Source organism: Homo sapiens, chromosome 18, assembly GCF_000001405.40.
Source record: "Homo sapiens chromosome 18, GRCh38.p14 Primary Assembly".
Classification (NCBI taxonomy): Eukaryota; Metazoa; Chordata; class Mammalia; order Primates; family Hominidae; genus Homo; species Homo sapiens.
This window is the reverse complement of record NC_000018.10, coordinates 74,227,216-74,254,673: the sequence shown is the minus strand read 5'-3', so window position 1 is coordinate 74,254,673 and position 27,458 is coordinate 74,227,216. Positions and strand designations below refer to the sequence as shown.

The following is a 27,458-nucleotide window of genomic DNA, read 5'->3' as shown; positions in this document are numbered from 1 at the left end:
GTGGCGGGCGCCTGTAGTTCCAGCTACTCGGGAGGCTGAGGCAGGAGAATGGTGTGAACCCAGGAGGCGGAGCTTGCAGTGAGCCAAGATCGTGCCACTGCACTCCAGCCTGAGCAACAGAGCAAGACTCTGTATCAAAAAAAAAAAAAAGATTCAAATAGAAATTATAGCTCATCCCTCCTTTGTCCCTGATTTGATTTGTAATCTGTAATTTATAGATCGAAATTCTATGCATCAGGACTGTAAATTTAGGCTTTTTTTTTTTTTTTTTTGGTGAATTTAGACCTGTGGACCACACACCAAGTAGTCTGGCCATTCTGTTTCTTAACCCTTTAAATCCACTTCAGCACAGGTAGTAAAGATTAGATTTTCCAAACCTAAGCTTAAAGCTGTGGTGTTAATGGCAGTGTTAATCATCACAGGGCCCATACTCTTCAACTTTACAGCTGGTGGGGCATTCATTTTTTGGTTTGTTTATTTTTGTTAGTTTGTTTTTGAGACAGTCTCGCTCTATCACACAGGCTGGAGTGCAGTGGCGTGATCTCGGCTCACTGCAACCTCTGCCTCCCAGGTTCAAGCGATTCTCCTGCCCCAGCCTCCCAAGTAGCTGGGATTACAATTAGCTACTGCCACCACGCCCAGCTACTTTTTGTATTTTTTGGTAGAAGGTTTTTACTATGTTGGCCAGGCTGGTCTCAAACTTCTGACCTCAAGTGATCCGTCTGCCTTGGCCTCCCAAAGTGCTGGGATTACAGGCGTGAGCCACTGAGCCCAGCCAAGTGGGGCATGAGTTTTCTCATAAAGCCAGCAGGGCAGAGTGATTCCTAGTATAGCAGGGCATGTGTTACACTCATGTCACTTTTAGCAAATCCACGTTGCCTTTTCAGCAAAATTCATTACAGAGTTAAGAAAAACATGCCCTGGTAATTTTCTGTTAGAAGGAGCAAAGATTTTGAGTCCACCACAGTGCACATCATGTCAGCATCATTGCTTTTTGTGTCTTTCTAGTTGGTGGACCAACTGGGTGATCCCTGCCATCTCTGCAGTGGCCGTCGCCTTGATGTATCGCCTATACATGGCAGAGGACTGAACACCTCCTCAGAAGTCAGCGCAGGAAGAGCCTGCTTTGGACACGGGAGAAAAGAAGCCATTGCTAACTACTTCAACTGACAGAAACCTTCACTTGAAAACAATGATTTTAATATATCTCTTTCTTTTTCTTCCGACATTAGAAACAAAACAAAAAGAACTGTCCTTTCTGCGCTCAAATTTTTCGAGTGTGCCTTTTTATTCATCTACTTTATTTTGATGTTTCCTTAATGTGTAATTTACTTATTATAAGCATGATCTTTTAAAAATATATTTGGCTTTTAAAGTATGCACCGTGTTTGCCTGTTTGGTGTATAATTGTCTTTAATGTTTAGAATCTGGTTATTTAGAGGATTCCTTCAATGTGTTACTCATCCAGACCCACAGAGGCCATATGACTGGAGGTGCGGGAAATAGGTTTGAGTGTCTCCTTTCACATCGTCACATCTCATTGAGTAACCATGTATTGTATGCTTCCGATATAGTTTCTTTTTTTCAAGGAAATTAAGAAAGGCCAGAAATTATAGTTTAAGGATTTCTAATAATTGTCCTACTTGAAATAGATCTTAAAAAGAAAGTAGCGGCTGGGCATCGTGGCTCACACCTGTAAGCCCAGCACTTTGGGAGGCTGAGGTGGGTGGATCACTTGAGGTCAGGAGTTCAAGACCAGCCTGACCAACATGGTGAAACCCTGTCTCTACTAAAAATACAAAATTAGCAGGGCGTAGTGGCGCATGCCTGTAATCCCGGCTACTTGGGAGGCTGAGGCAGGAGAATTGCTTGAACCCAGGAGGCAGAGGTTGTAGTGAGCTGAGATCGCGCCGTTGAACTCCAGCTGGGCAACAAGAGTGAAACTCTGTCTCAAAAAAAAAAGAAAGTAGCCTACAGGGCCTATAAGAGAGACTTCTTATCTTCACTGATTGAAAAACATCAGCAACTTAAAAACACATGAACCATGAGAGGGCATCGCAACTGTCCATTCTCTCAGCTTACACGTATCATTGCAAAGGCACTCACAGCTTCATAGGTTCTAAAGTTTTAAGAATTCCTCATTCAGAGAGTAGAATTGTTTGTAAACTCTTCTAAGGAAAGGCTGGTTTTCTAATTTGTAAGGAGATTGTGGGACATTGGAATCTGATCTTTGAAGAAATTTAGCGGCTAGTGTCAAGCTCTGAAGAGTTCTGGTGTGGCTCTGTCTCCTCCTGGGGGCTCTAAGGGGCTGATTCAGTCATCTTACTTCCCATTTATTATTCTCTGCCTTATGTGTTATTCTTTTAAATGTGGAAACTTGAAAGCTGAATTTGTTAGAACCCAGTACATGTGTCATTGGCTGTGACTGCATTTGCACTGGCATGAGCTGACAAACCACGAGGTTCTTCAGAAGTGACCGCGTGCAGTGGAAAGGAATTGTGTTGTTCTTACAGAGTACAACCTTTATAATCAAATAGGATGCACCGCCTTTGCCTTCTTTAGTCACTGAAAGTTGACAAGTAGTTTCTATTTCAAAATAAATTACAACACTTGTTAAGGGACCTATGTAAATATTTCAATATTTTTGGTTGTGATTTTTAGCTATAAAGCTTCACATTTTAGTAGTTTTTAAAACATTGCTCCTAAATCAACTATGAAGTGAATCGAAGTGGGTCAGTCGTACCTTAGATGACATTAAAGGGTTAACTTGTAAATCATTTTTAAGATGTTGAGTAATAGCATCTGTATATCGTTAAGAAACATAACAGTTGAACTTTGACATTTTTATCAGTGACTCAGCAATTTGCTGCTGTGGCTGGCAATGTTTCTTCATGTGTTTTGGGAACAACATGTGGAGTAAAGGAGAGTTTACTTCCTAATTTTAACATTTACAGTTTGTGCAGCCAGACTCTCAAGGAAAGATATTTGACACTTTTTTCTCTATTGCTTTCCCTTCAGAGAGGTGAGAGACTTCAGAGGCTGCCCTTTCTTTTCATCTGCTGCTTGTGAAAGGAAAACATCTTGGGCCCCCAGAATCACTAAGGAAAACTCAAGCTGGAAACTGCTTAGGGCCAACCTGCCTCCCATTCTACTCAGTCAAGCCTCTGCTCACTGAGAGAGAGGCATATCTGATTGCTTCCTTTGGAAAGGCTAATCAGAAACTCAGAAGAATGCAACCCTTTGTGTCTCACCTCTCTGTGACCTGGAAGCTCCCTCCTGCTTTGAGTCTTCCTGCCTTTGCTTCAAGGTGTCCCGCCTTTCCAAACAGAACCAATGTACTTCTTACATATATTGATCAATGTCTCATGTCTCCCTAAAATGCATAAAACCAAGCTGTGCCCTGACCACCTTGGGTACATGTCATTAGGACCTCCTGATGCTTTGTCACGGGCATGTCCTCAACCTTGGCAAAGTAAACTTTCTTTTTTTTTTTTTTTTGTTTTTGAGACAGAGTCTCACTCTGTCGCCCAGGCTGGAGTGCAGTGGTATGATCTTGGCTCACTGCAACCTCCGACTCCCAGGTTCAAGTGATTCTCCTGCCCCAGCCTCCTGAGTAGCTGGGACTACAGGCGTATGCCACCATGCCTAGCTAATTTTTTTGTATTTTTAGTAGAGACGGGATTTCACCATGTTAGCCAGGCTGGTCTTGAACTCCTGACCTCAGGCAATCCACCCGCCTCAGGCTCGCAAAGTGCTGGAATTACAGGCATGAGCCACTGTGCCGGGCCTATTCCTTGACTTTCTTAATAAAGTTGTTTTCACTTTGCACTGCGGACTTGCCCTGAATTCTTTCATGTGCGAGGTCCAAGAACCCTCTCCTGGGGTCTGGATTGGGACCCCTTTCCTGTAACACAGGGACTGTATTGGGTGCACGTGTGTCAGTTGCTCACCTCCTGGGTTTGAGTTGATGATTAGGGCTCTGGTTGGAACAGGCATCTCCCTTCCTCTGGAGGTGTCTAGATGAAGGCAAGTGGAAGTTCTGGAAGCAGATTCTCCTTTGCAGCGTAGCCTTTCTGAGAGGTGTGCAGACACAGATGGCGTCCGGATCCTCAGCTTCTACCTAGATTGTGGGAGTTTCCCTAGGCTGCTGTAACCAAGTACACCACAACTGGGTGGCTTAGAACGACAGAAATGTGTTCTCATAATTTAGAGGCCAGACGTTGTAAATGAAGGTTTCAGCTGGGCCACTCGCCCTCCGACACTCTGGGTGGAATCCTTCCTCACCTCTTCCAGCTGCCACTGGTGGCCAGCAGTCCTCACCTGGCGGTCCTCACCTGACAGTCCTCACCTGGCGGTCCTCACCTGACAGTCCTCACCTGGTGGTCCTCACTTCACAGTCCTCACCTCATAGTCCTCGCCTGGTGGTCCTCGATGTGGTCCTCACCTGGCGGTCCCCACCTTGTAGTCCTCACCTCGCAGTCCTTGGCTTCCGGCTGCGTCACCCAGGGCTCTGCCTCTATTGTCACTGACATTTTTCTCCCTTTGTGTCTCTGTCATAAGGACACATTGGATTACCTACCCCAGCATGACTTCATCTTAACTAATTACATCTTCATGATCCTGTTTCCAAATAGTCACACTGAGGTGCTGGGGTTAGGACTTCAACATATGTTTTTGGGGGACGTAGGTCAACCCACAGCACATTCTTTTCTCAAAGTGACCTGATGTTTATGCCTGCGCTTCTTCCTTTACTCTCTTTCAACTCAATTCCTCTTCTCCCACTTTTCAGGAAAGAGGCGATCTTAGCTCAGGCCACTCCAACAAAATACCTTGGACTGGGTGGCTTAAAAAGCAAACATTTGCTTCTCACAGTTCTAGAGGCTGGAAGTCCAAGATTAAGGTGCCAGCAGATTCGGCGTACTCACATGGTAGGGAGAGGAAGCAAGCTGTCTCGGGACTCTTATGATGACACGATACTACCCCACCTCCTCATACCTGCACATTAGGGGACAGGGTTTCCATATGGGAATTTGGGGGAGACATTCCATCTGTGACAGAGACCTATTTCTCACCCATCCTGAATTTTAATATTGGATGTGAAAGCTACTGTCAAACATGGTACATAGTGGGGTCGTGAGTCTCTGTAATAGAGACACTTCTTTAATCAAGGTACCCCACCCCAAGTCAGGCTTTGTGCTTTCCTTGTCTGGCGTGTGCTCTGCTGACGGTGAATCATAGAGTAGGAACGGGGCGATTTAGCCTTCTGGAGGGTGGTTGGAGTTCACATGGACAGTCAGCAGCAGGGGTGATGACATTGCATTGAGCAATATCTGTTCTACCATGCTTTCACTGTCTTTGATGAAGGCCTCCCTCCCTCAGGAGTGCCCTGGGAGACTGGTCAGATACATGAAATCATCTTGTGATATGGGTCCACAGAAAATCAAAATCAAATGTTTAATTTCACTGGTATGTGTACATTTCCATTATAGACAATGTGATTGGGAGGCAAAAGACTGTCATAATATTTTTCATTAGGATAAAACTGGGGAGAAGAAATAGACCTATGAGGTCAAGGAGAAAAAGGAACAATGTACAATTTCTTTCTACTAAGAGTGTTTCTGCATCTATTACAAAAGGGTAATGGCAAATTGCATTGATATTTAAATTCCACTTAGCAAATTTTAAAGAGTGATATTTCAGCTTTATTTTAAAATGTCAATATTTCAAATGTTGCATAACGATGCCCTTTGTAAATATTTAAACTCATTATGAAAATTTTAAAGGGCAACTGAAGGTGTTTTTCAACATTCTTGTAAGGGTAATTTAAGTAGAATATGTGAAGAGCACTAGCTCGTGGCAGGAGCTTGTTCTGACTGGCTGCCTCTGCCCGCCACCGCCTCACACACCTGTCCCCACATCCTTTCTCCATGGCCTGGCCACACTGTGAAATCACAACATAAGTTTCAAGCATTGATAGTGTATATTGAGTGAGGTTATGCACTACACACTTAATTTTGACATCAGCCTGCCTGAATGTTTTTCTTGCAAAATATTTAAAAAATTGCTTTTTATTTGTTAGCTCATCAGTCCAAGGCCTCAGCACATAGCCTGGCTCACAGAAACATTCAAGGTTTTGAGTTGAAACTAAATTGTGAATTGTTTTCATATTTTCCGTGGCTTCTAAGTCTTTGATTTGATTTTTTAAGACTCTGTACTCCTAACTGTAAGTTGGAATGACTAAATCTGAAAGTATTGTTTTAAAATAAAGGTAAGGCATCTTTGATACTATAAAGCAGGGACAGAATGAAAAACACCTTCTCTTTCCGGAAGACATCTGTTGTACTGAAAATCTGAAGTCACTCTTGGGCAGAAAGGAAGGCTTGGGAGGCTTGGAGACCGCGGTTGGAAACCTGGCCCTCCTGCTTGCTAGCTGCATCGTTTTGAGTAAATTACTTATCCTTGCGGAATCTTACTTTCCTATTGATATAATTCATGAGCAACGCTTCCCTTAGGCCTCGACTAGAGGTCCTGCCCACTCGGAGGACCCCGTCTGGTCCACTGGCTGTGGGCTTCCCCATGGGCCAAGGATGTGCCCACCTGGAGCCTGTACCCCTCCAAACCCTAGTACCCCCCACACACAGCCCAATCCTGCCTGTAGGTCTGGGTCTCCCCAGCTCATCCTCCTGAGGGTCACCAGGCTCTGGGGGGTGCACATCAGGGCCGAAAGAGTAGACGAGGGCTGGTGGTCTTCAGAGAGTTGGACACCCTGGATGAGCAGGTGGGGTCTGCAGGTAGGGTCTTCCTGAGTGCACTTGGACCCTGCATGTGAGTGGACTGGCGCTGAGAAGGGAAGCGGGGAGCTGGGAGCTGACTCTTCCAATGCCACCACCATCTGGCACAGAACTTTGATGAATCTGAAAATCCTAACTTCAAAAGTGACCTTTCTGGCCATTTGTCAAGGCAGGTGGATGGGGTATATTTTAAGACTTGTCAGTGGCTGCACAACATTAAAACACTCGGACACACGATGTGTGCTCCTCCTGCCCCACAGATGTGAGGGGATGGTGGCTCCTCAGCGGGTGAGGATTGAAATGACCACAGAGCAGCCGTCCACTGCTGGCCCATGTGTCTAATTCGTGTTTGCACTTTCCCATCCGGACCTCTTAAAGATTGCTTTATGTTAAGATGAGGTGTTTGGTGTATAAAATTTGAGCAAAACAAAGCTGATTGCAGTAATTGCAGCTAATAATCACATCCATGTATAGAAATCCCTAGAAGGCCAGGCTGGCCCAGTATATAAAGCTCCCCTTTCTCTCTCCTGTGATCACTGTTGTCCACTCTGTCACCTTATCTGAAGGCACCATTTGGTTTGGCTCCACATCAGGGTGGGGAGCACTGGCATTTGGGGTCGTGCTGTCACCCTGGAAGGTGAGTGTCACTCCTTGGTCATCAGCATTACCAAGGGCAAGGGAAGAGGAATGGCAGGGCCCCTGCTGAGAGCTCTGCCATCTCCTGGGAGGAGTGGACACAGAAGCCAGGAGACAATGGGGAGACAATGGGAGGATGGGGAGATAGTGAGGGGGTGGGGAGACAATGGGGAGGTGAGGAGATAGTGGGGGGTGGGGAGATGACAATGGGGGGATGGGGAGATAGTGGGGGCTGTGGAGATGGGGGTGGGGAGATAGTGGGGGATGATATAGTGGGGGATGGGGAGATAGTGGGCGGATGGGGAGATAGCGGAGGATGGGGAGATAGCGGGGGATGGGGAGATAGGGGATGGGGAGATGGGGGATGGGGAGATAACGGGACAATGGGGAGATAGTGGGGGGATGGGGAGATAGTGGGGTGGTGGGGAGATGGGGTGTGGGGAGATGGGGAATTGGGAGATAGTGGGGGATGGGGAGATAACAGGGGGACAGGCAGATAGCGGGAGGATGGGGAGATAGCAGGAGGATGGGGAGATGGGGGTGGGGAGATAGTGGGGGGACAGGAAGACTATGGGGGACATGGAGACAGTCGGGGTACAGGGAGAGTATGGGGAGGTGGGAAGACAATGGGGGCACGGATTGATGTCAAGTCTGATGCTCAGCTGCTTAGCGGAGGTGTGGCCGGCAGAGGCCAGCAGGAAGAAGTGTGCTGGGCACTCAGCACCTGCCAGGGAAGCTCAGAAGCAATCGAAAAGGGCACGAGTTTGTCCAATAGGGATGGGGTGTCAAAGGGGTTCTGTGAGGAGACATATTTTGTAATCAATCAATAATGTCTGAATATTAAGAGATCACTAAATCATTATGTAAATCCTGAAACATAAATCACAGTCTTCCTTGATTTTTTGACTGAAATGCGAATATTTTAATCAAGATGGAAAACACAACCCAAGTTGTTGGTGGGAAGGAGACATCTGTCAGGAAAAGTCCTTAAAAATGAAAAAATAGTGAGGCTTCTTTCTCTGCTCTTCTCTCTAGCCCCAGCTTCTGGTCACTCCTCCTTCCTACTGAAGGCACAGAGTCCAGTAGGCCATGAAGTTGGACATGGACCACAGCCTCCATGAAGACCAGGAGTAGAATGTCTAGCTTGAGGGTGGGTGGGTGGTCCCGGCATGGTCTCAGTTGCCATGCAGCCAGCTCTGCATCTGGTTGTATTTGGAATCTGTAGGACCAGGCTGAAGTTGACCAAGGGCTTCATGATTGGCCTAGAAACAAGCATACAACCAGAGATGGGATGCCGTGGGCTCCACCATCTCCACTCCTTTTAAAGAAGAAAGAAGCAAGTGAAACAAATTTGCTTTTTGAAAACCTTAGGTCTCCCGAAAAAAAAATGCAAAATGTTACCTTTAGTCCAGATAATTTAAGAAACCATTAAAATGCCATGTTGTCATTTTTAGATTAGAAAGTTTGACTTGTTTTAATATTCTTGCAGCCACGAGGGAATTCTGGAAATAAAGGAACACTTTGAAGTTGCAGTAGAAAGAATTTGAAATTCACTTGATAATTTTAAGTAACATCATATGGAGAACCTTCACCAACTTTGAGAATTATTGTTTCATTATCTTAATATGCTATTGCTAAGCTGAATTTATTTTACCATTATGATTATGCTTGTCATGTTTATAAGTCAATAGCTGTTTAAGGAGAGATCATGTGAGAATTGTCACATGGACACATTTAACATCAGCCATGACCATGGCTCACGCCTGTAATCCCAGCACTTTGGGAGGCCAAGGCAGGTGGATCACCTGAGGTCAAGAGTTCAAGACCAGCCTGACCAATATGGTGAAACCCCGTCTTTACTAAAAATACAAAAATTAGCCGGGTGTGGTGGTGCGTGCTGGTAATCCCAGCTACTCGGGAGGAGAATCGCTTGAACCTGGGAGGCAGAGGTTGCAGTGAGCCGAGATTGGGTAACTGCACTCCAATCTGGGCAACAGGTGAGATCCATCTCAAAAAAAAGAAAAAGAAAAATTTAACCTTGTTATAAGTAATGGTAGCATTACTTCACATTTCTTTTCTTAGTTCGCCAGTTCATGAACATGCACACAAAAATCCATATTTGTCTTGGAAGAAAACATAGGCATAAATCTTAATGACTTTGGATTAGGAAATGGTTTCTTAGATAACAAAAGCACACACAGCAAAAGAAGAAATAGATGAACTGAACTTCATCATAATTAAAAACTTTTGTTTCAAAGGACACCATCAAGTAACCGAAAAGATGACACAGGATGTGAGAAAATACTTACAAATCAGGTATCTGAGGGACCTGTATCTAGAATATATAAAGAACCCTGACAACTCAACAAAAGACAACTCAAGTTAAAAATGGGCAAAAGATCTGAATGGATAGTTCTCCAGATGAAAGTGCATGAATGGCCGATAAGCAGGATTAGCATGCTCAGTATCATTAGTCATTAGGGAAATGCAAATCAAAACCACAAGATGCCATTTCACACCCATGGGGAAGGTTATAATCAAAAAGTCAGACACTACCAAGTTCTGACAAAGGTGGAGAAATTGTAACCCTTGTGCATTGCTGGTGAGAATGTAAAATGGTTCAACCTCTGCGGAAAAGAGTATAGCAGTTCCTCAAAAAGTTAAACAGAATTACTACATGACTTAACAATTCCACTGCTAGGTATATACCGAAAAGAAGGAAAAACATGTGTTTAGACAAAAACTTGTTATGTGAATGCTCATAGCATTATTTATAATAGCCCCAAGCTGGAAACAACCCAAAAGTTCATCAGTAGATGAGTGGATAAACAAGTCGCCTTATGCCTATACAGTGGAATATTACTCTGCAGTAAAATGTACTATACATGCTAGAACATGGCTGAACCTTTGAAAACATTTGCTAAATGAAAGAAGCCATTCGTAACAGGCTACAAATGGTATGATTCTATTGATATGAAATGTTCAGAATAGGCAAATCCATAGAGACAGAAAGTGGTTACCTAGGGCTGGGAAGAAGGCTGAAGAAAACTGGGGAGTGGCTGATAACGGGTGCAGGATTTCTTTGGGGATTGATAAACACGTTCTGAAATGAATTATGGTGATGGTTGCATAACTCTAAATGTACTAAAAGCCATCGAACTGTACACTTTCAATGGGTGAACTGTGTGGTATGGGAATTATATTTCAGCAGAGCTATTGTATAAAAAAACTCAACATAGTCAAGGTGAACTCATTCTCTATGCCCAAGAAATTGTCCCGTCCAGCATTTCTTTCTTTCTTTTCTTTTCTTTCTTTTTTTTTTTTTTTTTTTGAGATGGAATTTCACTCTTGTTGCCCAGGCTGGAGTGCAATGGCGCTATCTCGGCTCACTGAAACCTCTGCCTCCTGGGTTCAAGCGATTCTCCTGCCTCAGCCTCCCAAGTAGCTGGGATTACAGGTGCATGCCACCTGATCTGTCCGCCTCAGCCTCCCAAAGTACTGGGATTACAGGTGTGAGCCATCGTGCCCAGCCTCAGTGTTTCTTATCTCAGGAGCATCCACCCAGGTCATGCCAGAAACAGGGTTTCTTCTTCACACCCCTCACCTTCGGCATTGCTTCCTACAATCACCACTCGGTTAAGAGTGGCTTCTTGTAAAGGGTGAGATGTGAAGCCAGAGGAGGGGCTTTTACTGTTTCACTCCATACTTTGTTCACTTACATATGGTTGGAATTAAATATATGACTTTTGCAGCTGAAGATAAACTGATCGCTGATGTGTACTGTTTGTTTCTAGATAGCCTCAGTGGCTGCTCTGTCTACTCTCTTGCTAGTGCCCATCCCTCCTCTCCACCTCCAGTGCCACGGCCCTCATCTAGGCTGCAGCTCGGCTGCTCTGAGTTACTGCTGCAAAAGCTCACTTCCTACTCGCATCTGGATCTGCCCAGGCCATTATTTCTGTCCTGCAGTGTATTCTCTGAGCCTCATCCAGTTCCTGAGACAAAGGAGGTGATTGTTAACTGAAGTCCCCTAACTGGTCTCCCACTTCCAGTCTCTATTTTCAATCTCTTGTGCCCATCATGATGAGATTATTCTCACTAAAACACCACTTTGATATCACTCTTGCCCCCCAGCCCCAGGCAGCTCTGAAGCACCCTACAAACTCAGCCTTTAGAGGCAGGGGGTTTTGAGAACTGCAGGATGTCCAGGCTGTGCATACTGGAGCACGGGAACTTTCAGACTCCAACAGTTTGTCAGCGTGGCAAGAGGCAGAGACAGATGTTATCTGACAAAGTTTGTCATATTCTTAGTACACCAGATCCTGGAAGCTTGTGAAACACTCTGGAAGGTCAAGCTAGTGCCTAGATCTTAGTGTCAGCCCAAAAGACTGAGGGCGAGGGCGGGCGGAAGATTATCAACAGCAAACATGTAGGAGGGCAGGGCCGGCTCGTTCTCGGAGGTCAGGGGAGTTCTGTGCTCTTGGACCTGAGTTTGATAAACTCAGTTCCTCTTTATCTCTGCTGATCTGCGGTATCTCATAACTTCAGCATGCTCGCCACTACCCTGAGTCTGTAGACTTCGGTGTTGATGAAGTTCACGTTCTTGGCACTATGGCCAGTGCCTAACAGCCTTTCCTTTTAACTAAGAATCTATTGGCTTTAGGCGCCCCCAAGTGACACCCTCCTCCTGGAAAATACTGATTATTTCAGCATCCAAGACTTACTACTGAGACCTAGCAATAACTAAGCACTTTTCTCTCTCCTCTTTGCGCCGGCTTCGTTACTGATTTACTCCTAGACTCGCAGTAACTTGCAGAAACTTGCAGAATTCACAGATGTGATTTAGAGCAGCTAAAATGTTTCTGGTTGGAGTTTTCATGTGTTAGAGAAAACAAAATCCTTTTAGGGAAACCATGGAGTAGATTTTTGCCCTTTTTCTCCAATGGTTCTTCATGTTTCCTTTAATATTTTTTCAGAGTTATCTCTCCTGAGAATCATACCCATTTGTGGCTGCTTCCCTGTATGTTTCGAGTTCAAACTGGATTCCATAACTTTCACTTCTGTCCTCATGAAACCCTTCTCACCCAAGCAAACCTGTAGCACGTGCCTCTCTCCCTGTGTTCCTCTACAGCTTTAAAGCTCTCTTCTCTTTGGGATTACAAAGTATCTAGTATTTGTCAGTTTCCTGAGCCATGACTTTGCAAAGAAAAAACAATACAGGCCTGATGGCATTACAACTTCATAAAAAATTAATTTAACGGTGCTCATAGATTGCCTTAATTTCTTTCATGATTTCGGGTTGGCTGTCTCCTCTCCCTATTTTTAGAATGTAGTAGATAGAATGCCCTTAACTATATGGGTGGATGGTTGATTACTCAAAGTCAGGTAAAGTGGAAAACGATTATATTTTAACTCATTTTAAGTTCATTTGCCAAGAGCTTTTTTGATTTATCTTTTGGGTCTGGATCCTCTGATAGGAGTTCTGTAACCACGATGCATCCGAAATGTCCCTTTCTCTTACTTTAATGTGGAATGAGAACGTAAAGAAGCTTCCAAAGCTATCTCCATACCATAGAAGTCTTAGAGTTTTAGAATTTTTCTTCCTGGTCTTTTACAGCTGCCTTGCACATGCCTAATGAGTCATTTTAACAATCCCTTTATCAAAGCTTTTAACAGCATCCAACATAGTTTTTATGGGGACATCTCTCCTTTTGAACTTGTATTTTTCCTCAGGTTACATCATATTCAATTAGTGTAATTGTAAATACATTTAAAGCTAATATAATGCCGGGCATGGTGGCTCACACCTGTAATCCCAGCACTTTGGGAGGCTGAGGTGGGCGGATCACCTGAGGTCAGGAGTTCGAGATCAGCCTGGCCAACGTGGCAAAACCCCATCTCTACTAAAAATACAAAAATTAGCTGGCCATGGTGGCGGGTGCCTATAATCCCAGCTACGTGGGAGGCTAAGGCAGGAGAATTGCTTGAACTCAGGAGGTAGAGGTTGCAGTGAGCCAAGATCGTGCCACTGCACTCCAGCCTGGGTGACAGAGTGAGACTCCATCTCTAAAAAAATAAAATAAGAAATAAAGCTAAAATAAGCAGAGTGGGAACAAGTACACTGATAAGCGAGTTGGAGCAGGAGTGTGCAGGCAGTCAAGAAGGCAGGCAACTGTGCAGGTCAGTACCCCGTGGGCATTGATTATTTGCATTTCAGAGGACGTGGAGAGAGACAGGTAAGCTGGCGAGTAAGCTGAGCTGAACTGATGGAACTTCCTCTGAAGTTTATACTGCTGAATCTAGACTATCGCTTTGTTCTCCCCTATCTCGAGCTCACATTATAAATTTCCATTTATAATTCTTGGTTCTCTGTGTATTCTCTCAGAAACAACTGCCATTGTATGAGTAGGAGTTACCTGTCTCTCAGTGAAAGAAACCCAAGCAAAGTTCTTTCTAGTAGCTTCTGGCCCAGCCGAATAACAATTAGGCTTAAATGAGTGGCACCTGAAATTCAGAGTGGCCGATCTCTACTTCAAAAAGCAGCTCCAGGGAGTCCTTAGACCTCCAGAAATTACATGAAGCATTCTGTTCATACGTGCATCTTTCTGAGAAGAAATGACTTTTCCAGAATCCTTAAGGGGTCTGTGATCCCCTAAAGATCAAGAATCACTACTTACACGTGACTTTGTCCACTCAGGGGAAGAAAAGTACTTGGTGATCTCAGCGAAAGATGTCTTTAACTGCTAAGCTGCTTTTTCCAACTGGCAGAAGCCCTTGAGAAGAGTTTATTAAGAATGAAGGAAAAAAATAATCCCTGTGTAGTTTACACAACTGTTCCTAAAATTCATCCCCCACCCATGCATTAAGCAGTACCATGTGCCGAGAGCCGTTCTCAGCCTGGGGGTACAGCCCTAAACAAGTGCCCACCGTCCCGGCCCTTTGGAAGCTGCATTCCACGGGGACATCTGCAGACCACAGGTAAGTAAAGAGACATGCATGGAACACCAGTCAGTGAAAAAGTGTTATGGAAAGAGGAAAGTGGAGAGGCTTGGAAAGCCATGTGATTTTAATAAGGGTGATTAGAAGCTCATCTGTGAATTGGGAACATCTGGGTGGCAACCTGCATGAAGTGTAGGAATGAGCTTGAAAATATTTGATGAAAGCATCCCCGAGAGAGGGAAATAAGTGTACAAAGGCTCTGAGGCAGCAGTGTGCCTGGCATATTTGAAGAACAAGGAGGCCAGCATGGCTGCAACAGACAGGATCTGATTTACATTTGGAGAAATGCATCAGAGACTATAGACTGCAGGTGGCCAAGAGCAGGCACAGGGAGGCCTCTGGGTCTCTTTATAAATATGTGAATTTATTGATAGGCTTAGGAAGTGGCCTTCCTAAGCCTATCAAAATGCATGTATTTATAAAAAAGTTTGTTTTTCAGGCATTTAAATTATTTAAATGGAATTTCCATTTAATTAATAATTAATTATTATATATATTCATTTAAAAAAACAAAAGAGGACATACAAATCAGAAATGTGTAAAAATAAATTTAAATCATAACAGTCGCTTGGTGGCCACCTAAAAATAATGACAATAGCATTTTATTTTTTATTTCAATAGTTTTTGGGGTACAGGTGGTTTTTGGTTACATGGATAAGTTCTTTAGTGGTAATTTCTGAGATTTTGGTGCACCTGTCACCCAAACAGTGTACACTATACCCAATGTGTAGTCTTTCATCCCTCACCCCCCTCCCAACCTTCCCCCGGAGTCTCCGAAGTCCATTATTTCATTCTTATGCCTTTGTATCCTCATAGCTTAGCTCCCACTTATAAGTGAGAATACACACTGTTTGCTTTTCCATTCCAGAGTTACTTCACTTGGAATAAGAGCCTCCAGCTCCATCCAAGTAGCTGCAAAGGCCATTGCTTTGTTCCATTTTACAGCTGAGTAGTATTTCATGGTTTACATATACTACCTTTTCTTTATCTACTGATTGGTTGATGGGCACTTAGGTTGGTTCCGTATCTTTTCAATTGCGAGTTGTGCTGCTGTAAACATGTGTGTGCAAGTGTCTTTTTCATATAATGCCTTCTTTTCCTCTGGGTAGATACCCAGCAGTGGGATTGCTTGATCAAATGGTAGTTCTACTTGTCATTCTTTAAGGAATCTCCACACTGTTTCCCACAGTTGTACTAGTTTATGTTCCCACCAGTGGCATAAAAGTGTTCCCTTTTTACCACATCCATGCCAACAGCTATTATTTTTTGACTTTTTAATTATGGCCATTCTTGCAGGAGTAAGGTGGTATTTCATTGTGTTCTTAATTTGCAATTTTCTCATGATTGGTGATGTTGAACATTTTTTCATATGTTTGTTGGATGTCTGTATATCTTCTTTTGAGAATTGTCTATTCATGTCCTTTGGCCACTTTTTGATGGGGTTGTTTTTTCTTGCTGATTCCTTTGAGTTCCTTGTAGATTCCGGATATTAGTCCTTTGTCAGATGCATGGTTTGCAAGTATTTTCTCCCACTCTGTGGGTTGTCTGTTTACTCTGCTGATTTTTCTTTGGCTGTGCAGAAGCTTTTTAGTTTAAATAGGTCCTATTTATTTGTTTTTGTTTTGGGGGCAACTAGCACTTTAACTTATATCCTTTCAGAATTATTTCTCGTATTCCCTTATAAAAATGGAATCCTATTGGAAAGACTGTTTTTCACTTAACAGTTTATTGAAGAAATCCATCCATATCAACAAGCAAAGGGTTACATTATTATTAAAGGTAATCCATATGTACCATTTTTTTTATTGTGATAAAGTATACATGCATTTATTTTTAAGGGGAATTAGCGACCTCTAAACCCCGGCTCCTCAGTGTGTCCTGGGAGACCCACAGCAGTGAGATCTCCAGCAGCTTTTGAGGGACGGAGAATCGTGGGCCCTGCCCTGAAGGAGGAGGAGCCCTGCCCCACCCAGAGTTTTCAGGAGGCCTGCGAGGTGGGAGGGCTGTTCCTTCCACCCCTCTGCTTGGGCTGCTCCCCAGGCCTCTGTCTTGTCTTGTGCCATCTGCTTTTCTCCAGTCACATTCCTTGGCCAAAATCGACTCCTCTTACAACTTCAAGCATATGATAGTGTGACGCTCTGCTTTCATTCCGAATCTCTTATCCATCCAGTCACTCAGGAGTGGGAAACACTTCCCTATGTCAGTTTCTGTAGAAAGCACTGGGGATACATGATGATCAAGGTGCTGTGTCTTCCAGAGAGAACGTTCTGGAAGGGGATGAGGATGTCTGGATGGGAGATATGGCTGGAGGGTCATCAGCTCATGGAAGTCACTGAGGCCACCTGGATGCTGCAGTCCTTGGGAAGGGTATGTGGGATGAGATCAGAGAGCCGGGGATGGGAGCCCATGGGAGACGCAGCCACAGATGGCAGCAGCGTGCTGGGCAGTGCCCTGGGCTGCAGGGCCAGGGAGAGCAAGACCACCAAGACAGCATGTGTGCAGGGCTCACCAGGGCCCAGGCAACCTCAGAGGGTGTGATGTGGATGACCTCATCTCATCCTCATGGCACACAGAGGAGTAGAAAGTGATCAGTATCTCCATTTTAAAAATGCAGCAGCCAAGATCCCAGAAAAGTGGGTGCCGGAGCGAGAGTCAGCTCCTCTTGTTGGTCTCTAAGGTCCCTGTGCTCACCCAGTTATGCTGAGATTAGGACGGAACGTGTCTTCTGGGGGAGCAACAGCAGCCACCACCCACGGGCAGATCCAGGGCAGCCCCCAGGGCAGAGGAAGGCCAGGAGGTGCGCAGTGGACGAGAAGAGCGGGGACTGCCATTTCAGGAACCCTGGCTGTGATCCGGGGGAAAGAGATGGGCAGGTGGTGGTGGCTCTTCATTTCATTTTTGTTTTAAAGGTGGAAGATACTAATGGGTGTTTCAATGCTGCAAGAGCTGTGTATGGGCAGAGGCTGTTGGGGACGGGGCTAACAGACAGCCAAGGTCCTGGGAGTCTCGGAATGAGACTTCCTAGAAGGACCAAGGAGGCAAGAATGTCCCTGACATTGGGAGTAGGGGAAGGGGAGGAAAAAGGGAAATTTAAATTTCACGCCTATTGTCCCCTATTCCTGAAGCCACCCACTGAGAGGGAGAGGGAGGTGGTGGAGAGAAAGAAGAGGTTTGCAACAAGTGCCATAAGAACAAAATAGGGAGTGACCAGGCCTATGGAAGGATATGGAATAGCACTGCGAGGCTGGCTGGCTCCGAGACCACTGTGTGGGCATGTGCTTGGCCTCTGAAGCTTGGGCACAAACACTCTTATCCAGTTTCCATTCAAAGACCAGCTCGAGGCCCTGCATGCCCGACCAGCAGGAGGTTAGGTCCTTTGGTCCCTGAAAGATTCCTCCTTGAGGAAATCTAGCCCTGGGGGGCTCACTAAGTTTAAATGCTTGTTCAGTTGACACCTGTCTCTGTACTTGGAGTGAGCAGTAGGCTTTTTTTTTTTTTAACAACTGAATATCCACTCTCCTTCCAGTAACAGCACCCAGATTTAACTCGGGAGATCTGCTTCCCTCGTTTTCAGCTATGGGACATAGGTGGGATTGACCCCTCACCTAACTCCAGGCTGAGTTAGGATTCACTTGAGCTTAAAGAACATCCCATCCCTGGCCTAGTGGGAAATGATTCCACTCTATCAGAACCAAGGAGGCAGAAGGAATTTCACCAGTGTTCCTTGGAACGTGGACCTGCTTCCCTGCTGTGTGTGTGTTCAGGAGAGACTGCTTTCCTCCCCTGGTGGTGGGATGTAAAGGCATGTGTCTGGAGCTGCCATGGCCATGTTGACGTCATGAGGTATCTTGGGTCCTTCTGGGGTGGGGACTCACAGAGATTGAGGCTGAGCCTGTCAACATGGAAGGTGGGTTAGAAAGACTGGGAAACTCTGAGTCCTTGGACATGCTGGCTGAGCTGCGGATCATGCCTCTCTCGAAGCCACACCTATTGTGGACTTCTAATAAGAAGGTTGGAAGCATATGATATTGCTGATAATTTGGCAAGTGCTGACCTACAAGAATGGAAATCTCTTTCAACTTAAATGTTGAAACTTATAAATTTCCTTGATTTTCTAAGACAATTTTAGGTGGGTGGGTTTTTCTACAACTCAAAGACTTCTAACAAATATAACACAGAACTTAGAATCCTGTCCCTGAGGAAGGAGTGTGTGTATCCCTATGTCCCGGGAACTGGTTGCTCCAGAACCTGTCTCTGCGCAGCTGCTGCCGCCCCTCACTCCTCCTGCTGCAAAGCTCAGGTGATGCACAGAGATGTAAAAGTTTGCTGCTGCCGAGACCACTGCTGGCTCCTATGGCCCTGCCCGAGGGGTCAGACCAACTGGCCTCAGGTTTCCAACAGAACTGGTCCTGACAGTCCCTGGGGATTCTGCCCCAGCCTGAATAAACTATAATTCTGAGCAAAATCCAGCTGAGTTCAGCAAATGGAAGTGGGTTAGCCCTCAGAGCCCCACTTCATGTGGGGTATGACAGCAGCCTCAGCTGTCAGCTGCATCCAAGGTGGACATTCTCTCACCTCAAACATCGGCATGGCCTAAAATTGATGCCTTCCCATACATTTGTTAGAGAATAGATTGAAGGGACTTCAAGTTGCAAAGAGATATTTGAATTTTTTAAAAACCTCAAGCCAGTATTTGGAAACCGCCAGCAAGGATTTGGACATGGTGAGGTAAGTCAGACCAGTGCCAATTTCATAGGCTGAAGGGAGGTTTTCTAGGTTAGAATGCACAAGATGTAAACAGTTGATTTTTCTGCTCATGTTGTTCAACAGGTTTCTTTTTCTGTAAAGCAACTACAGCCTGAACTTGAAGCCATATCTTTTTTTTTTTTTTTTTTTTTTTTTGAGATGGAGTCTCACTCTGTCGCTCAGACTGGAGTGCATTGGCACAATCTCAGCTCACTGCAACCTCTGCCTCCCCAGTCCAAGAGATTCTCCTACCTCAGCCTCCTGAGTAGCTGGGATTACGTAGCTGTGCCACGACACTGAGCTCAGTTTTGTATTTTTAGTCGAGACAGGGTTTCACCATGTTGGCCAGGCTGGTCTAGAACTCCTGACCTCAAGTGATCCATCTGCCTTGGCCTCCCTTGGCTTACAGGCATGAACCACTGCGCCCGGCCTTGAAGTCATAATTAAGTAGTATTAACACATCATGTCTCATCAGGTAATAGGCTTTTGCTTTTTTTTGGAGGAGTCATACCAGAGTTTGCATACAAACTCTTCCTGTGTGTAATGTATCTATTTATTCATTCATATTGACTGAGAGTCTCCGACGTGTCACTGCATAGCCAGTGTGACTTCCCCAGTCAGATGACTTCCCCTATGCTTGTGTCTTTACCTCCCTGTACCCCTCGCCAGCCCTTGCTGGAACAGGCACTAACCCCCAGGCAGAAGAAGGACTTGCTTCATAAGCCTTCAAAGAAGAAACTCTGGCTTTTCTCAGTCTGTCAAAAGTCAGTGGAGGCCTCCAAGCATTTCTCATTTTCCCAATCATCGAATAATAACTTCAACACAATGATATGACTCAACCCATTGCTGACGAATGCTCAGAGCCCAAGCCTTTCAAAGCAAAGGACCTTGCATAGTTCCCCTGTCAAGGCAGGAGATTGAGTTCAGCTCAGTTTATTGGTTAAACATTATCACCCTCTGTTCCTCCCACTGGTATGTCTGTTCCAAATGCTGACCCCAGAAAAAAGTTCACATGCTCTTTCCTGAGCCAAAACATATAAAGAACAGCCTCACTTGTTGATATGTACCCTGTTATGCAATCACTTTCCTTGCAAGGGCCGAAGTTCAAGGAGCTGTTAAAGTTGATGCCCTTTCTTTTTCTCAAGTGTGAAACATAAAGAATTGCACGGGATTTTACCGTGAGAGTCAGATGGTGAGAATTCCTTAGCATTTGCCTTTCTGAAGTGGAAATTGGGTTCCCCAGAATTGTGACTGTTTGATACTCAGGTGAAGAAATTATTTTTATTGTAACCTCTTCCCCTTGGAGATTAAGGGCTGGATGAACACTTTGTTTAGCATTGCTTTTGATTCTTGCGTGGGTGTGAAAGAAAGATGATCTGTTTAATGCCACGTGGCTCCCAGTGTGCCTGCCTCAAGAGCTGTCCTTAAGTATAGCCAAAGGATTATATAATAAGCAAGATTTATATAATAATTTTGTACATGTTGCCACCAGAATATCACTATGATTTCCTATGACATAAAGCTTTCATCTGTTGCTATCAGGAAAGAATCGACTAAGCTTTTTCTGTGGGGGAAATGTGCTAGAAAGCCCTTCTGGAAACCATTCCTCAAAATCATGCGAGCTGGAATGGCAACCTAGAACTAATGCTTTAACAACCACCAGTCATCAGTAAAATAAAACATACAATACTAAAATAGCTAATAAACGACAAAGGCTATATGCCAAATGGATTCAGTAAGATATTTGGGGAACTGATGTGAGACAGACCCATGTCATCGTCAACCTTCTCTGGAAAGTCCAGGAGCAGAGGACAAGAGAAGAAATCTTCTGATATCATATTCATTGATTTGGACACCATGGAGTTAAATGGCAATTATTGTAGTCTACTGTTTATATTGGGCCAGAATCGAGGGGTTATTTCTTACAGCAGAAGTGCAGCTGGGTGGCCTTTCCATTATATCTGTTTAAAACCCACTGAATGGGCATATTTGGGGTGCCAGGGAAATGACTAGAAAAAAATCAGGTTGTGATGAGCAGTCATGCGGTGGCGTTTCTGATAGACAATACTTTCCTCTTCCTCTTAAATACAAACTATAAGCATTGTGACGAGAAAGGACCCCCATTATGAATTTTATGTATTAAATACTAATAGTTTGTTACAGTTTATTACATGGTCAATGTTTAAATTAAAAGCTCTATTCAAATGAATGTATTAGTTTGTTAGGACTGCCGTAATAAGGTAGCACAAACTGGGTGGCTTAAACAACAGAGATTTATTTTCTCACAATTCTGGAGAGAGCTGGCTGGGATCAAGGTACAGTCGGGGTTGTTTCCTCCTGAGGGCAGTAAGGGAGTAGCGTCCCAGGCCTCACTCCCAGCGTCTGGGGGTTGCTGGTGATCTGTGGTGTTCTGTAGCTTGTAGCAGCACCCTGATCTCTGCCTTCGTCTACACAGGGTGTTCCTGTGTCCAAATGCCCCTTTTTAATTTTTATTTATTTATTTATTTTGAGATAGAGTTTCACTCTTGCCGCCCAGGCCAGAGTTCAGTGGCGCCATCTCAGCTCACTGCAACCTCTGCCTCCCGGGCTCAGGCAGTTTTTCTGCCTCAGCCTCCCAAGTAGCTGGGATTACAGGCACACACCACCATGCCCAGCTAATTTTTGTATTTTTAGTAGATACAGGGTTTCACCATGTTGGCCAGGCTGGTCTGGAACTCCTTACCTCAAATGATCTGCCAGCCTCGGCCTCCCAAAATGTTGGGATTACAGGCATGAGCCACCACGCCTGGTCACCCCTTTTTTTAATAGGGACACCAGCCATATTGAATTAGGGCCTGTCCTACTCCAGTATGACCTCATCTTAACTAATAACATCTGCAAGGACCCTATTTCTTTTTTCTTTTTCCTTCTTTCTTGCTTTCTTTTTTTTTTTTTTTTTTGACAGGGTCTCGGTCTGTCGCCCAGGCTGGAGTGCAGTGGCATGATAACAGCTCACTGCAGCCTTGACCTCCCAACATCAAGTGATCCTCCTGCTTTGGCCTCCCAAGTAGTTGGGATTACAATCATGCACCATCACACCTAGCTAACACCTGGCTAATTTTTGTATTTTTTGTAGAAATTGGGTCTCATGATGTTGCCCAGGCTGGTCTTGAACTCCAGGGCTTATGTGATCCTTCCACCTCAGCCTCCCAAAGTGCTGGGATTATAGGCATAAGCACCTGTGCCTGGCTGAGGACCCTATTTCTAAATCAGGTCACCTTCTGAGATACTAAGGGTTAAGACTTCAACATATGAATTGGTTGGGCACAGTTCAAGCCATAACAATAAGTAAACCTAATGTTGGACCAGATATTCAGGGGCAATGTGTCCTGGGCCCATTTTTAAATTAATTAATTGTTTAAAGCAGAAAGGTGCTGTACCAGAAATGGGTTCTACCACTCATAGTGGGGGAAGCAAAACAGTGAGAAGGAAACATGCCCAAATCCAGACTGTGGCTTCTGTTCTGGCAAAGTTGCATCTTGACGACAGTTTGGATCTGCTCGCTGCAGAGGGTCAGAGGGTGCGGCCCGAGTGGCACCCACATCCTGGTTGCCCTGGAGGATGCAGGATGGAGCTGCTCAAGGGCAGGGCACTCTGGAGCCCACCAGCTCCTTGAGTTCTGTCTGGCCCTACAGTGTTGTCCTCACAAGAAACAAAAACAAACAAACAAACAAAAACCCAGGAAAACAGAGAGGGACCAGGTATAAAGGTGAAGCGAGTGAAAGGCAACCTCAGCAGCATTGCAAGAGTGGGTGCCTGTTCCACAGGTTGAAGAGCGCTAGAACTTGGCAGAATGATGCCCAGAACAGGACCCCATTCCTCCACATTGTTAAACCTTGCACCATGGTTCGGGCCAGAGGTGGCTTCACCTGGCTCTGCCATTTCTAAATTGAAAACCCCGTACCTACTTGGCAGTCCCATGCAGGTGACTCAGCAGTTAGCTGGGAGCAGAGCATTGCCAGAAATGTACCATGTGTCTAACAGGCAAAAAGCAAGCCAGGCCTGTGGGAGGCACTCTCTCTGTGCAGGTGGGCATGTAGGTTGGGATTAAGTAGCTCCTATCCCTGGGGTCACTAGTTGTCACTTGAATTCAGACTTTCAGTCTTTAACTGGGGGAAGGGACATTTGCAATGGATGGAATGTTACATACGTTTACCTGTATTGAGTTTGTGACAGGCAAAGAATTAAAAATGACAGCTCTGGGATGGTTGTGGTGGCTCACACCTGTAATCCCAGCGTTTTGGGAGGCCAAGGTGGGAGGATCACTTGAGTCCAGGAGTTCGAGACTAGCCTGGGCAACAGAGCAAGACCCCATCTCTACAAAAGAGTTAAAAATTAGCCCTATGTGGTGGTGCATGACTGTAGTCCCAGAAAGGAGGCTGAGGTGGGAGAATTGCTCGAGTCCAGGAGTTCAAGGCTGCAGTGAGCCATGATTGCACCACTGTACTCCAGCCTGGGCAATAGAGCAAGACCCTGTCTCTAAAAAAAGAAAAAGAAAATTACAACTCTCCACAACTAGTGCTCACTTCCCCCAAGACAGTGATGGGGTGAGCTTTCTAACAGTTTAAAGAGAAACTCTTCAAAAATTCCTTTTCACTCCAATATTTTTATATTTATGGGTTTTTTTTTTTTTTTTTTTTGAGTTGGAGTCTCACTTTGTCACCCAGGCTGGAGTGCAGTGGCGCAATCTCAGCTCACTGCAACCTATGCCTCCCGAGTTCAAGCGATTCTCCTCCCTCAGCCTCCTGAGTAGCTGGGATTATAGGCGTGCGCCACCATGCCTGGCTAATTTTTGTATTTTTAGTAGGGACAGGGTTTCACCATGTTGGTCAGGCTGGTCTTGAACTCCTGACCTTGTGATCCTCCTGCCTTAGCCTCCCAAAGTGCTAGGATTACAGGTGTGAGCCACTGCACCCGGCCTATTTTTACGTTTTTAAAGAGCCGGGATCTCACTACATTTCCCAGGCTGGTCTTAAACTCCTGGGCTCAAGGGATCCTCCCGATTTGGCCTTCCAAATTGCTGGGATTACAAGTGTGAGTCATTGTGCCCAACCTCACTCCAAAATTTTGACCATGTTGATTTTAAGGCACAGAACTGGACTCAGTACATCTTAAAGAAAAAGCAGAGAAGCGGACAGTGCATGGGGTTGAAGCTGGAAGCCGGCAGGAGCAGAGCCGTCTCCAGGCACTGGGTCTCCCTATTTCTCTACCGTGCTCTGCCTCCCGTACTTCCTCAGTGAGGTGGCTTTTCCCCTCCTTCCTTCTGACCGGCCAGTAGGCTTGGCATTGTCCAGCATAGGTGCTGGCGGAGCTGGTCTCTTTGGCTTGGCGAATTAGCTGCTGGAGACTTCGTGCCTCCAAGATGTGCCGTCCTGGTCGGGTAATCTCTCAGGTGCAGTCAGTGGGCCTGTCACAGAGCCAGCCCAGTGAGGGTGACACTGTCTTCCAAAAACAGGGCTGATTTGGAAATGTGTGGCAACCTTTTGTCTTCTGGCGTAATTCTACCCAAGCATTTACAGATTGAAACAAATAGTGTTAGTTAATTATAAATTGCTTTCACTTTATTTTCTCCTTATATTAGGTTTAGTCGTTCTGACAATTCTTTTGATAATCTATATCATCTATGAACCTTATTTCTGATTAAGATGGTATTATATTAGTCTTTTTTTGAGACAGGGTTTCATTCTGTTGCCTGGCTGGAATGTAGTAACCCCTAGGTTTTTCTTTTTTTTCTTTTTTTTTTTTTTGAGATGGAATTTTGCTCTTGTTGCCCAGGCTGGAGTGTGACAGCACAGTCTCAGCTCACTGCAACCTCCACCTCCCGGGCTCAAGTGATTCTCCTGCCTCAGCCTCCCGAGTAGCTGGGATTACAGGCATGCGCCACCATGCTCAGCTAATTTTTTGTATTTTTAGTAGAGATGGGGTTTCACCATGTTGGTCAAGCTGGTCTCTAACTCCTGACCTCAGGTGATCCACCTGCCTCGGCCTCCCAAAGTGCTGGGATTATAGGCGTGAGCCACTGCGCCCAGCCAGCCCCTAACTTTTTAAAAATGTACAACATTTGGAGGAGACTATTCCACTAGAATCTATGAGAAGCCTATAAGTCACAGGTGCTGAATGCAAGGTGAAACCCATTAAGCCGCTGAGCAAAACCTAGCTAGGGAAGTCGCATGTGTCTAAGTGTGTGTTGGAGTGAGTCAGGCATGGCTGGCGGAAGGCATCTGGCCATGACTGTTTTCTTGTTATTTCTTATCTGTGTCCTGGTTATTTATTTGCTCTTGATTCTTGCACTGTAATTTAGACCTTTGATACAATGGTTGGTAACACTTTGTCACAAACTCTAGTTCAGAGTGAGTCCAATATTTTGGGTGGGGAAATAGACTGTGAAACATTTGCATGCATGCTCTTTTTTTTTTTTTTTTTTGCAGTGGAGTCTGTCACTCTTGTCTCCCAGGTTGGAGTGCAGTGGCATGATCTTGGCTCAGTGCAACCTCCGCCTCCTGGGTTCAAGTGATTCTCCTGCCTCAGCCTCCTGAGTGGCTGGGATTACAGGTGCCCGGCAGCACACGCAGCTAATTTTTGTATTTTTAGTAGAGGCAGGGTTTCACCGTGTTGGCCAGGCTCGTCTCGAACTCCTGAACTCAGGTGATCCGCCTGCCTCAGCCTCTCAAAATGCTGGGATTACAGGCGTGAGCCACCGCATCCAGCTTGCTCATTTTTGCATGCATTTAGGGCAATTGCTGTATGGGTTAATATGCTTTTGTGCCCCAATATATTCAGAAAGGTCTCCCCTTTCTAACATCCTTTATGTTGCACTCATGGCCAACCACCTTGTCTCTATGTCCTCATACACAGGAAGTATTAGTAGAGTCTTCCAGACTTTCTTATTTCAGGTGATGAGGCACTTCACCTTTCACAGACATCTTACACACACACTGGCTGATGATCTCACCCTGGCTGTGAATGCCACACGTATGTCCTCTGGTCGTTGCTCCCATAGCTATCCAGCAGAGCAGAGTTTACATCCACAGTTGGCTCCATGGGCCCGTGACGGAGGCAGAGTTTACATCCACAGGATGGAGGCGATTAGGTCCACCAAGGCTCTCATATGCTGGTCTTCAGTTCACACAAACCACATGATGATTGCTTCTCTGTGCTACCTGTGACCCACCTGCAGCTGGGCTGAATGAGGCTGCTCTCCTGTTCATCTGCTCTGCCCATGAACAGGAACAGCATCTCTGCTAAGCTTGTCTCTAGTGTGCACTCACCACCTCAGTGCACCCCAAAAAGCCTGGCAGGAAGTAGGGGAGTAGACATTCACCCAGGGAATGCATCCCCTGTGGATCGGGTTCCAACCATCCCTGTGTGCCTGTCTGGGATGGACCCAAGGTGGGTAACAAGCCCTGCCATTTCCAGAGCACTACGTGCTAAGTAAGCATCATTCATTCATCACGTCACTTAATCCTGACAGCAGCCCTGCCAGGCTCCTGTGGTTGCCTCATTGTTACAGATGAGGAAATGGAACCTCCGAAGAGTTAAGTAACTCGGTGAAGGTTACTCAGCAGGACATGTTAGCATGTTGGCCCAGGTATCTCTAATTCTTACCTCTTCACTCTTGTCACCTTTCTGCTGCTGCTGCTGCTGCTACTTCTTTTTTCTTTTGGAGACAGGATCTCATTATCTTGCCCAGGCTGGAGTGCATTGGCTATTCACAGATGCAATCCCACTACAGATCAGCATGGGAGTTTTGACCTGCTCTGTTTCTGACCTGCGCCAATTCACCCCTCCTTAGGCAACCTGGTGGTCCCCTGCTCCTGGGAGGTCACCATGTTGATGCTGAATATAGTGCAGATGCCCCAGCTGCATAGTGCACTACAGCCCAGGACTCCTGAGCTCAATTGGTCCTCCCACCACAGCCTCCTAGTAGCTGGGACTACTGGAACGGGCCTGCATGCCTGGCCTCCTTTCTTCTCAAAGGTGCAGGTTTCAGGGAGCCTGGCTTTGCTTTCTGAGTTCATTTTTTTCCCCTCCAGCACCAAGCAGCTCTATACTCTCTCCTTGACCACTTCTCTTAGAGCCTTTTAACCCTGGCATACAGGAAGGGAGCTCAGATGTTCACACTGTGCAGGTGGATGGCTTAACGTTGACATGCTGCTTTCCACGAGGGTGGCATCGTACAATACCTCAAAACATTGGTAGCCTGTAGAATTGCATATGTGAGTCTGGACAAGGCAGATACATTACTGTAAG

General features: G+C 45.4%; 1 protein-coding gene and 1 pseudogene across 3 annotated transcripts in view, besides 3 other annotated features; one reads left to right on the top strand and one right to left on the bottom strand.

Moving 5' to 3' along the window:
• CYB5A (cytochrome b5 type A) overlaps window positions 1-3,828 on the top strand; it is a 41,118-nt gene extending 37,290 nt beyond the window's left edge. For all 3 annotated transcript variants that reach the window (NM_001190807.3, NM_148923.4, NM_001914.4), the window contains one exon: window positions 1,009-3,828. In NM_001190807.3, coding sequence (NP_001177736.1) covers window positions 1,009-1,090 — 82 coding nt within the window. In that variant the 3' untranslated portion in view covers window positions 1,091-3,828. The remainder of the gene's footprint in view (window positions 1-1,008) is intronic.
• Window positions 3,459-4,394: an enhancer, noted in NCBI's record as "NANOG-H3K27ac hESC enhancer chr18:71917515-71918450 (GRCh37/hg19 assembly coordinates)". NCBI's record gives its function as "activates a minimal SCP1, AML or CMV promoter by ChIP-STARR-seq in naive H9 embryonic stem cells {active_cell/tissue: H9 hESC(naive)}" and the evidence as "EXISTENCE:reporter gene assay evidence [ECO:0000049][PMID:30033119]".
• Window positions 11,766-12,060: an enhancer, noted in NCBI's record as "tiled region #12176 K562 Activating DNase matched - State 5:Enh". NCBI's record gives its function as "activates a minimal TATA promoter and a strong SV40 promoter by Sharpr-MPRA in K562 cells {active_cell/tissue: K562}" and the evidence as "EXISTENCE:reporter gene assay evidence [ECO:0000049][PMID:27701403]".
• Window positions 16,543-17,042: an enhancer, noted in NCBI's record as "H3K4me1 hESC enhancer chr18:71904867-71905366 (GRCh37/hg19 assembly coordinates)". NCBI's record gives its function as "activates a minimal SCP1, AML or CMV promoter by ChIP-STARR-seq in primed H9 embryonic stem cells {active_cell/tissue: H9 hESC(primed)}" and the evidence as "EXISTENCE:reporter gene assay evidence [ECO:0000049][PMID:30033119]".
• On the bottom strand, window positions 26,872-27,168 carry RN7SL551P (RNA, 7SL, cytoplasmic 551, pseudogene; annotated as a pseudogene).